The 13,118-nt window shown below is 34.1% G+C and overlaps 1 annotated feature.

Annotated features, from left to right (window-relative positions):
• Positions 5,834-6,615: an enhancer, noted in NCBI's record as "NANOG-H3K27ac-H3K4me1 hESC enhancer chr12:33823144-33823925 (GRCh37/hg19 assembly coordinates)". NCBI's record gives its function as "activates a minimal SCP1, AML or CMV promoter by ChIP-STARR-seq in naive H9 embryonic stem cells {active_cell/tissue: H9 hESC(naive)}" and the evidence as "EXISTENCE:reporter gene assay evidence [ECO:0000049][PMID:30033119]".

The raw sequence follows: 13,118 nt of genomic DNA, 5'->3' as shown, positions 1-13,118 counted from the left end.
GAAATAATAGCTTTAAGACTATGAAATATATTTACCCCCACCAAAGAAAATTTTAAAATGAGGAAAAAAAGAAGACAAATTTAAATATTTAATTCATTTACTTAAAATTCAAGAGAATATATTGCATTAACAAATCAAAATAAGTGATAATAAAGAGGAAAAATGCAAAATTCAAAAGGAAACTCCATGGTAATGAAAAGTTTGAATTTAGTAACAAATACCATTATGGACTCTATAAATAATAGATGTATATAGGGGATAACTGATTTAGTAACAAAGAGCATAAGCCTCAGCAGTTTTTATGGAACTCAAAGAAGAAATAAAGAGAAAAAATAAATGAACCATAAAACCAAGTCTTAAGAGAATCTATTTGGAATAGGAGTTGTAGAAGGAGAGAGAGAAAAACAAAGAGCATGAGCGCAAATGAAGGATAAATATATAATTTCCTTGATAACAGTTATTCAAGAAATGCATATATTTGTATTTTGAATAGATATTGGACATTGTAAGTAAAATAATTATTTTAAAAAGCCCATGGCCATTGTCTTCATTAAACTTAAAGAGTATGGAGAGAAAAAGACATTGATGTAATAATCTTGCAAAAAGAAGGTAAAAGGTCATCTGTTGTCAGTGCTATAAACGTTTCATCTGTGGTACAGTTCTACCATGTCATGGGGGATTCACCAAGACTGTCATGGAGGAGATAGGAAATCTCCCCTCCTATTTGAATGGTCCTCATCAGTGGGATTTTCTTAGTAGGAACAGTGGAGGATGAAAGGAATAGAGAATAAGTGTGACAGGCAGAGGAAAGGGCAGAGGCAATAGCTGAACTAAGAAAGGCTGGAGTTGCCAGCGTCAAGGGCTCAGTAAGAAGCCGAGAAACTTCATTAAAAGGAATTAATAACGGGAGAAATGCTTGAACATCATGGAAAATAAACAAGGTCTACAAACATCTAAGCTTCGAAAGCTGTTTTTATATATATATATATTTTTAAAATACCAATATTTTGCTGATTTCTGTCATCTCCACACTTCCATATTCTGGGAGACAATGATGTAATAGTATTTAGAAACATTCAAGGGAGAAAAAAACACTATAACCCAAGCTATCTTTTGTCACCCCTTATATCCAACTTCTTGTCTTTTTTTTTTTTTTCTTTAGACAATCTTGCTCTGTTGCCCAGTCTGTAGTGCAATGGTGTGATCTCGGCTCACTGCAACCTCCGCCTCCCGGGCTCAAGCGATTCTCCTACCTCAGCCTCCTGAGTAGCTGGGGCTACAGGCACATGCCACCACGCCTGTCTAATTTTTTTGTATTTTTAGTAGAGACAGGTTGGCCAGGCTGGTCTCAAACTCCTGACCTCAAGTGATTTGCTTGTCTCAGCCTCCCAAAGTGCTGGGATCAACTCCTTGCCATTTGACCAGAAATAATAATATTCCTGGATTGTATTTTCTAAACTTTCTCCTGGGTTTCTTTGTTTTATTCACAATATAGTTGATGCTGAGCAAATGTTACTTACTCCATTCAGCATTTTCAACTAAAAGATACAGACGCTTTTTGCCAAAAGGTTTCCTGGGTTTTTGCCTGGGTTAGAGCTTTTGGAACCATTACATTTCTTATCATTCATGTAATTTTGTGTACAATATTTTATGCAACTTGTTAGAATGTTTCCATTCTCTCCACCTCCCCCACCCCAGGGCAATATCTTTCATAGCATAATGTAGTACATTGCTCAAAATTTTCTTGAGATGAATTTAACATCTAAAAGTGTGTTTTGTATTTTAAGATTAAGTCATTTTAGCTTGAAAATTTTTGCTTTCCTAGTAGGGGTAAAAGAGATAGCTATGTTGCTTTTTAATTGTTTTCTATGAATTTTCAACATCCTGCTTTGGACAATAAGTCCCTTTGTCTAAGGAATCCATTTGGAGGAATTTTTTTTTTACCAGACTCGGCATCATTAATATTAATACAAAGCCACCTCATTCATTGAAGATGCATTATTTCAGAGATGAAGAAGAAATACAGCTCAAGGTTCTGGGTTGTTTTTCTTTTTCTTTTGATGACTTTGGTACCAAAGGCTTCTGTTTTTAATAATCATATTTAATGTAGCAAATAATTTGTAACATTTTCCTTATTTTTAGCATGATTCTTCACTATGTTTTTCTCTTGAGTATCAAGAAGATTTCTGCTTCCAATGCCTACTCAAAATGGAAACCTGCACACTTGCCTAAGAGAAAATATAGTCTAGTCCTTCTCTTTCTATATGGATTTAAGGGGTATTAATATGTATTTTTATATTTATGAGAGCCCAGAAAAAATCCAACACACTGCTCTAGGATAATTCTTGGATAGATTTATGATCCTTGTCTTAAAAGATTATAGATTCTCAGGGGTCACCTGCGAACTCTTGTCTCAATACTTCTCTGGAAGCTTTCCCAGTGCATTGTGTTACATCTTCTCATCCTTTGAAACACATATTGAGACATTAAAAGACTCAGTTTTAATATCTATTTTCTTAACATGTAAAGTGAAACTCAGTTGAGAACTATGTGGTATCTTAATTACATTATTTTGCCTAAGACTCATCTACACAAATTCATGCTCTAGTTAACAAAATATTTAGCCAATTTTTCATTATTTTGCCTAACAAAAAAAAAATAAGAATGACTCAATATTTTTTCAAATTGTCAATTTACAAAAAAAAAAAAGAGTCTAAGATACAAAGAAGGTAAAGTTATACAGGTAGATAATGATAGACTCAGAACTAGAAGATTACCTTTCATCTCACTGATCTCACTGATTTTTCCATTGGAAAATAATTTCATCCTTGATTTGAAATCAGCTGAACAACACAGACACACACACACCATACACACACATACACACACACACACACACTGATACTCTCATCATTGTCACAGACTTAATTGAAACAATGTTTTCAATTAAATTTTGGCCTGAATTTCTTGGGTACCCAATAATGAACTTTCCAGTACAGTAGAGTTCTAGGAGAATTTTAGGTTGTTCATAATTTACATTGAGCTATTAGTAATCTAAATTGCACAGAATGTTGGTTGCGCATGGAGTTTAAAACAGAATTTTTAGATTGGTAAAATAAATGTCAGGCACAAACATTTAAAATATGAATAAAAGATAAGGGCTTCAGAATTGCATTTCATTTTGTCTTCTTTGTGTTAAGCATATTTAAACATACTTATTTTCTTATCCAAATGCCCAGAATTATTTGGGATGCCTTTATTTGCACACTCGAATAGCTCTCCTAATGTAGCATATGATCATTTTCAGTCTATACCAAGCTATTATACTATTTGGTGGTCATGTTTTTAAATATCGCTTTTCCTGGTTAAATTGCACCTAATGTAGCGAAGTGTTTGCAACTAAGCTCTAATGTATGAACACTTTACCTTGACATTTGAGATTGTAGAGTACTGGAAGTCATTGAATGTAGAGCTCATGAATAAAAGTGATTATGGATTCAGAGGATTTAGCTTTTCTAACAAAATACCTAATAACATGACTTCAATTCTCAATTTCTTATGGCACTTTTTGAAAAGGTCAGCTTGCTTCCAGTTTAAAAAAATCAATTGATCTTCAAAAAAATGTTTACATTCTGTTTTGTTGTCTTATTTCAGGAAGAGAGTCAAAATTACGGTGATCATCATTGAAATATATGCCAGTGTAGTGAGGAAAGAGTTTCAACTGCTTCTACTTGCTTTGAATAACGCTTTTGCAAGCAGCAATCAGGAAGCAGTGCTATCACCTTGCTGCTGCCTAATGGCCCTGAAAGGCAGTTGTAACATCCTTGGAAGCCCCATTAGAGCAATTCCTGAGTTTATAATAAAGAGGACTGGGTCTTTTATCCTAAATGTAGCAAGGAATAAAATTTATTTCTGAAAGAGGTAGTGCTTCTGCCTTTTTGTCCCCTAAGTCTTATATATCTTGCTGGAGGATAAACAAGGACTGAATCCCAAGGGGAGTATAAAGCACCAAGAGAAAGCAAAATGCAACTTATGGCAATATTTTCCTTATGCCTGGTCCAATTTATGAGGGACGCGTTTGGAAAATGCTCTGAAAAGCCAGAGTCCCTACAGAGATACATTAGGATTTCAAACATTAGACAAATTAACTGTCAGCTGAATGCAATTTTTGTTGGGATGCAGCTGTATGCCATCAACAACCAACATTTTCTGTAGCCGGTAAATGAGTGTTTAAGACCTGATGTGGGGCAGGTCACAGTGGCTCACGCCTATAATCCCAAGCACTTTGGGTGGCCAAGGCGGGTGGATCACCTGAGGTCAGGAGTTCAAGCCAGCGTGGCCAACACAGCAAAACCCCATCTCTACCGAAGAATACAAAAATTAGCCAGGCATGGTGGTGCACGCCTGTAATCCCAGCTACTCAGGAGGCTGAGGCAGGAGAATTGCTTGAACCTGGGCCACGGAGATTGCAATGAGCCAAGACTGTGCCATTGCGCTCCAGCCTGGGTGACAGACAGAGAGAGACTCCGTCTCAATTCAAAAAAAATAAATAAAAATAAAAGACCTGATGAGGGGAATCTGAGGAGTGCAATGCAGCACCTACTCACTCTAAAACTTCTTTAAAAACTCCTTTTTTTCTACTCCAAAAAATACAGACCCGACAACAAACAAAACTCATGATGATTTGAAAGTACTGTCTTATTTTTCTCTTGCTGTATAACAAATTGCTACGAAATTCAAAAGCTTTAAAAAAAAAACTCTCAAAGATTTATCATCTCACAGTTTCTGTAGGTCATTAATGCCAGTAGTGATGCCTCTGGCTCAAGTTTACTCATGAGATTACAGTCAGGCCTTTGGCCAGGTCTTTGATCTCATCTGAAGGCTATCTTAGGGGAGAATCTGCTTCCAAGCTCACTCACATGGCTGCTTACTGGATTCAGTTTCCCACAGGCTATTGGACTGAGGCCTCCATTCCTTGGCATGGGGGTATTGTTATGGGCTGAAGATTCATATGTTAATGTCTTAACTGCTAATACCTTAAGACCTGACTATATTTGGAGATAGTGCCTTTATAGAGGTGATTAAATGAAGATTTATTTTTTAGGGTAGGAAAAAATACAAGCTGACTAATGTCCCTATAAAAAGAGGGTTAAACATTGAAGAGTACTGGTGCACAAAGGGAGAACCATGTGAAGAGGCAGCAAGAGGGCTGGATCTGCACGCCAAGGAGAGTAGCTTCAGGAGGCACCAACCCTTCTTGCACCTTGATCTTTGACTTGTGGGAAATAGACTTCTGTTGCTTAAGCCACACAGTCTGTGGTGTTTTGATATGGTGGCCCTAGCAAATAAATGCAGGCCTCCACATCGGGCAGCACACAAGATGGCAGCTAGCTTCCCTCAGAGTGACAGAGCAAGAGCGTACATCTACAATGAAAGCCAGTCTTTTTGTAACCGAAGAAGCAACACCTGAGTACTTCTGTTGTAGCCTATTCATTGGGAGTCAAGTAGTCCAGCTCCATCTCCAAGAAAGGGGGTGACTTGAGGGCATAAATGTCATGAGACAGCCCGGGTGCAGTGGCTCACGCCTGTAATTCCAGCACTTTGGGAGGCTGAGGCAGGCGGATCACAAGGTCAAGAGTTCGAGACCAGCCTGACCAACACGGTGAAACCCCGTCTCTACTAAAAATACAAAAATTAGCTGGGTGTGGTGGTGCATGCCTGTAATCCCAGCTACTCAGGAGGCTGAGGCAGGAGAATCGCTTGAACCCGGGAGGCAGAGGTTGCGGTGAGCTGAGATCGCACCACTGCACTCCAGCCCGGGTGATAGAGTGAGACTCCATCTCAAAAAAAAAAAAAAATCAAAATAACGAGACAGGGATTATTAGGGGCCATTTCAGAGGCTGCCTGCCAGACACTAACGTAACATCTGTAATAATGTAGGAAATATGAGATAAAGGAAGGAAAAAAACAGAGAATAACATACAATGAATGGATTATAAAGGATCTGGAATAAACAACCTTTAAGAGTGTCTGGATGGGGTTTAAACTGGAGAAGAGATGTTAAACACAGGACGGCTACAACAAGTTTTCGCCACATGGTGTTACAGAAAAATAACTGTAGCAGATCCCTAGCAGTCATCATCCTGGCAACGAGGGCTAAATTCAATTTTCTTTTCAACACCACTACCTATAGCTGCTATCTTTTCTTAGAAGCAAAAATAAAAAATAGCCAGTTTACAATAGGTGAGTGTCATCAGTTGCCCTTGTACTTCTGCTCTGCATTCACTTTTACCCCCTCCAGCCCTTCCCAGTTTTCATGCTTGACTTAGTAACACCTCTTCGTGAGTAAAGTTTGTAGTCAATTACTGTGACAATAGCAACTATTCCCCTAAATATACATTCAAATTAAGGGTTACATAGCGGACATTTCTAAAGCAGAACATTCCTATAAAACAAACAAAACTGAAACCAGCTGGAATGTTATTTTCGGTGCATCGTCCTGCCTCAGGACCATTATTAGTTTTTCAGGACTCATTTCCAAAGATTCACTTAGGGGAAAAAAAAGCAGATTTTGTTATAATTAAACATAAGTTAAATATATGCTTTTGAAGTTGAGAAAGAGGTGCTGAGAACTCCAAACTTTCTTTCTTTTACAAAAAAAATCGTTCTATATATTTTAGGTAGTAAAAAGACCACCAGAGGCATATTTATGATTATCTTTGTCTATAATTATAACAAAACAAAGAGGAAGAAGATAATTTTGGAAATATTTGAAGGTCATAATTTCTTGTTCGAGTACTATATTTTAAAGTCAGTAGAACACATTCATAAGCTTAAGTTCTGAATTACTTGGTCACTTAAAAATATGCTCACAAGAAAAAGGTATTTATACATTTGGAATAGGGCGCACTGGGTATTACAACCTCTGGTTTTGAAAGTTGGCATTGGGGATGTTTACAGCTCCATTACCAAAGCACCCATGCTCATTCATTCTCCATCTCCACCTTTTCTGTCCCATCTAAGTGGCATAGTAGTTAAGAGAATGGAGCCTGGGTTTGGATTGGCTGAGTTTGAATCCTAACTCTATTTTTTTATTAACTACAAAATACTTCAGAAACTCACTTTCTTAATCTGTAGTGTGGGAATAATAATGGCAATTATATTGATGAGGAATAAGAGCATTTTTTATCCAGCTTGGCAGATGGTAAGCATTCAAACCGTATCTGTTATTAAGTTATTAAGTTATTACCCTGTCTGAAATGTCTTTTTTCAATCTGTCAGCTTGTCAAGTTGTTCAAGATACAACTTAAATGTCTCCTGTTCTAGAGTTTTCCTGTAAATCCTCCAAAGTCCCCCTGGGCTTTCCTGTCATTTCACACTTATCTTTATGTATGTACTTTTCACTTTTAATAGTCTTGTCTACAACTTCTTCCTTGGGTCCCACGTTGTGGGTGCTTAACAAATGTGTATGAAATAAATGAATGACCACTCAGACCTTAATACGACATCTCCTTGAACAAGTGTATGTCAGAGTAGAGCGACTTATGTTAACTAGCATGTTTCAATGGAGGATTAAGAAAAATATCTTACCCTAAAAATATCTTGAATCAATATATGCTATACAAAACAAAAGTTACTCATCCCTAATGTTTTAGCATGATTGAACATTTTGAACAGGAATATTTTAAAAAATATATGAGGCTCCTACTACCAACATCACTTACCAAAAAAAATGTGGCATATGGGCTTGTGATTTGTCAGACAGACATTTGCATCTGATATTTTAAATCATTTATTGAAGTATATAGCATGGATCCAGTTAAAAGTAGCATTAAGTTAAGAATGTTAGTCAGTAATAAAGATTTCAAAAACTGATATTAAAATATAAGAGTAGTCAAGGCAACTATTTCAGCCTCTAATCTCCAGCATTTGACATTACAGTTATTGATATCCATCCTGATGTCCTATGGGATAGCATATCCATTCAATCATATATTAGTTCAAATAAATCATTATTCTGTGCTTCCATACCTTTCATTTAAATATAAAAATGTCAAAATTTTACCTTCTAATCTGACCTATAATGATATGTTGTCTAAGTTTGCACTTGTAGATCATTATCAGTGCTTCATTACGTGGTTTGAAACCCTAAGTAATTAGCACTTGCCCCAATCAGCATTATTTCACAATGTAAACTGGATCTACATTTGAATGAAAGATTTCACACTTTAAAAATAATGTAATTTAGTTATCCAGAACTGTTTTTGTTAGTAAAATTGTTGCAAGTATCAGTGTATATCACAGTATAAATATTAAACTTTCATTTACTAGTGTAACTACAGCAATTTTTACTGACTTCTATTGTCACAAAATGGTGCTATTATATATGGCAGTCATATAATTAGTTACTAAAGAATTTGGGGTAGTATTATGCAGAATATAATGAATTTCAAAAAGCACACTGAAGTCAAAGAGATCCTAAATTTTTAAAGTCCAAGCTGCAAATTAGGATTCATTCTTTATTTCTCATGTTCCTCAACCTTAGCCTCAACCTTAGCCTCTGCTTCTAATTTATTATCAAATGCTTTCCATTTCATCTCCAAATTATAAGTACAATCTTTCTATTTCTTTTTTCACTGCCACCATAATAGACTAAGTAACTATCCTTTTTTGACTGGCCTACTGGCAATCACTTCTAACAGGTAACAAAGATACTTCCCTCTTATATAGTGTTTTCTGTAGTCAATATATATTGACAATTAATATTCTCATCAGATTTATTTTTGAAATATTCTAAAAACAGCACTAACATTCCTTAGTTTGGGGGAATAGTGCTGGGTATCAACATGCTGGTATCTGAGCACACTGCAGAATAAAGAGATTTTTATCTCATGCCTCTCTTTCTGTCTTAGATCAATAGGCCACTAAGGCCATAGGGATGAAGCCATGAAGACTTGATCTTAGCCTGACATCTATGTTGTTTTATATATATATAAATATATATATGTGTGTGTGTATATATATACACACACACACAAATATCTATATAATCTTTAATCTGATGGAGAAAAATATTGACAGAAATAAAAAGAGAAATAGACAAATACTCAGCTATAGTTGGATACTTTATCTTAGCTCTCTCAGACACAACAATAAAGCACAAGTAAAAATCAGTAAATATATAAAGATTTGTATAGCATGATGTTGCCAACTTAATGTAATTTATACTAACAACTGCAGAAGACATAATTTTTCAAGTTCTACTATCACCACATTTATTCAGTATTGTACTAGAAGTTCTAAATGGTTCAATAAGGCAAAAAAAGAAGAAAAGCAATACAATTATGAAGATTGGAAAGGAAGAGCACATAATTTTGCATTTTAAAAATGAATCTTTAAATATGATCTAGGATTAATAAGTATAACAAGATTATAGAATAGAATATCATTACATAAAATTTAATTGTATTTTTATATAAAAGAAAAAGATCAAATAGAAAATGAAACAAAATATAAACATTTACAATAAAATGTTTGACTTTTGATGTTTATAAGTAAAAGTTTAAACATTTACAGTAGTATAAAAATTCTATATCTAATACTAAATCTAGCAAAGATGTGCAATACTTCTGCATTTAAAACTAAAAAAAATTGAGAAAAGAATTTTTAAAAGCAAATAAATTGAGAAATATATGACGTGCATGGATTGGAAAATTCAATAATGTTAAAATTTCAATTTTCCCCAAGTTAATCTGTAGACTCACTGTAACTCCACTCAAATCCAAGTTTGATTTTATTTTATGATCTCATTTATTTGTTATTTTTAAATTAAAGACTTATTATTGTGGAAACTCCCAAGCCAATACAAAAATATATATGGAAATAGTCAAGAATAGTCAAGAAAATCTTGAGGAACAAGTTGGAGAGCCATACTATCAAATAACAAAACTTACTATAAAGTTGCAGTCATTGAGCCAGTGTGGTATTTGTGTAACATTATCATAACAAACAAATGAAATAGAATAATATTAAAGTAGATGAATGCATATATGCTCACCTTATTTACAAGATGCCACTACAAATCAGGGTAGAAAAGTTAATCTTTTTAAATAAATGATGCAGGAACAATTAGATAACCACATAGAAGATGACCCTTGACTTCCCTCTCACACCATACACAATTCAAGGCATGAAAGACTTAAATGTAGATGGTGAAATATTAAAACTTAAATAAAAAAATATAGAAATACATCTTCACAAACACAAAGTAGTCGATAGGATGTGAAAAGCACTAACCACAAAAGAAAATGGTGATAAACTGCATTTCATAAAATTAAGACAGTAAAAAGTCAAGCAACAAAATGGGAGAAGAAATTCACAACACAGACCAACCTAATTGAAATTTGCCAAAGGATCTTCAACAGGCATTTAATGAAAAACTATACAAAAATGGCTAGTTAACATATAAATGGATGCTCAACATTAGTCATCAGAAAATGCAAACTAAGCCATAATGTAATACCACTGTATTCCCATCAGAATTGCTAAAATTAAAAAGACTGATAATATCAAGTGCTGACAAAGATTTTGAGCAATTGGAGGTCTATATCAATAGAGGTGCAAATTGGTTCAACTGATTTTGAAAAATCTTTGCTATTATATACAACTAAACCTATAAATGCCCTCTAATCAGCAATTGCACTCATGAGTATACACTCCATAAGGTAAGTTTCAACTGAAAGGCATAGTCAGTAATGTTCACAGTGGCTTTGTAATAGCCTCATAATGGAATTAACCTATGTTCTCCTCATCATAGAGTGGGCAAACATATTTTAGAATAATGTTCATACAGTGGAATACTACATAGAAATAAAAAAGAATATTATGCCAACACAATAAAAGAATGAACTCAGCAACATTTTTGAATCTCAAAGACAAAGCTCAGTGAAAGGCATCAGACACAAAAGAGTACATACTGTATGATTCATTTATATAAATTTCAAAAATAGGCAAAATTAATTTTTAGTGATCGTATTCAGAATAGTCCTTATGCTTGCTAGTTTGGGTACTGACAGGTTGGAGCACAGCAAAAGAAAGCCTTCCTGGGTAATGAAATTTTCTTTATTTTGATAGAGAAAATGTATTTTATATGTAAAATTACATTTAATGTAATTCTATGTAAGTTATACCTCAATAAAATATCACTGAAGACAAGAGCAACAATAAAAAGGTTTGAATAATACTACTCTATGGGACTACTTTGAGGACTGAATGGAATGCATTTTTTTGTATACAAATGGATTCTTTTGGTATTTTGTATACAAATAAGGATGTATTTTGTATAATACCTAGCACATGGTAAGTGCCCAGTAAATATTAGATGTTGTGGGAAAAATAAACATAGACAATATCGAGATTTGTTGATGATGTTCAGAAACTCGAGATCTAATATACTGCTGCCAAAGCATATATTGGTACAACCACTTTGAGGAACAGTTTGACAGTATTGACTAAAGTCAAATATATTTCTAACCTATGATAGAAGTTTCTCTCAGGTATAGAACTAAGAAATATGAGTATATATGACCCGCTCAAAAAGATGCATAGGATTATCCAAAGCTTTATTCATAATAGCCAAACACTGAGATGACTCAAATGCCCATCTGTTTTATTGGACTATCCATTGCTATAACTGAACACTTGAGACTGAATAATTTATAAAGAAAATAAATTTATTTATTACAGTTCTGGAAGCTGGGAAACACAAGGTCAAGGGGCAACATCCCTTGAGGACCTTCTGCTGGTGAAGACTCTGCAGAGTCCCAAAGTGGCACAAGACGTCACATGGCAAAGGGGCCACAGCATGAGCCAAACTGGCTTTTATAACAAACTTAACTCTTGTGATAACTATCCCACTACCATGATAACCCATTAATCCATTAATTTATTAATCCATGAATGGCTTAATCCATTCATGAAGACTCTGTCCTCATGACCCAATCAGCTATTAAAGGCCCCAACTCTCATAATGGGGATTAAGTTTCAACATTACTTTCAAAGAAGAAAAACATTTGAAGCATATCACCATCAACTATTGAATGGATAAATAAGTTGTAGTAGTTCTTATAATGGAATATCACACAATGATATAATGGAACAAACTACTACTACAGGCAATAACAGGGGTAAATGTTGAACAAAAGAAGCAAGGCCAAAAAAGAAGGAGAGTTTACAATTTGGGTCAAGGAAAGAAGCTCAAGACTAGGCTAAATTAATCCATAATGATAGAAGTCAGAGGGGCTACATCTTTGTGGGAATGGTAGTTGCTGACTGGAAAGGAATATTGAAGAGCCTTTGGGATACTGAAAATTTTCTCTAGGTTGATGAGGGGTGGTTACACAGTTGTATACATATTTAAAAATGTCATGAATCTGTATTCATGATTTGTGTACTTTACTGTAGGTATATTATACTTTAATATAAAAATTTTTAATTATTAAAAACTTAGGATGTAGAATAAATAAAATAAAGCGTTTACTTAGGTCCACCACGATTTTAAAACATCAGCAGTAGGACTGCTGACACATTTTATAAACACACTGCAATAACAATTGGATTATATAACAACAGTAGGGGTCATTCTTGGATAAAAAAGAATAGCAACATTAATATTTTCACAATATTTGAGACATAAGTCCATGAACATATTACATTTCATAAATTATGAGATTTAGGGATTACTGAAATGAGAAAGATAAAAATTTTATCACTTAATTGCTATATAAAAACAAATAAGCTAAAGTAAAAAAATATACAATTGTAAATATGAAGTAAAAAGCATACACAATCGTAAAAAAACATACCTTTCTTTTCTTCCAAGCCACCCAAATAACAAAAACATACAGGAAGTAGAAGAAATATGTTAAACTGAAAAGTTCATAAACTAGAAAAATATGAAAAATAAATTTCGAAAAAAATCTAAGAATTAGTTCTTTGAGTATATCAATAAAAGAGATAGTTGACTTGCTAGCTTAATCTAGAGAAAAGAGAAAAAGATGATAATATAATTATTGTATATTTGTTGAAAAAATAATGTATTATCAAAGACAGAGATAAGG

This window comes from Homo sapiens, chromosome 12, assembly GCF_000001405.40.
Source record: "Homo sapiens chromosome 12, GRCh38.p14 Primary Assembly".
NCBI classification, from domain to species: domain Eukaryota; kingdom Metazoa; phylum Chordata; class Mammalia; order Primates; family Hominidae; genus Homo; species Homo sapiens.
Note: the sequence above shows the minus strand (reverse complement) of the source record. Positions and strands in the feature narration are given on the sequence as shown.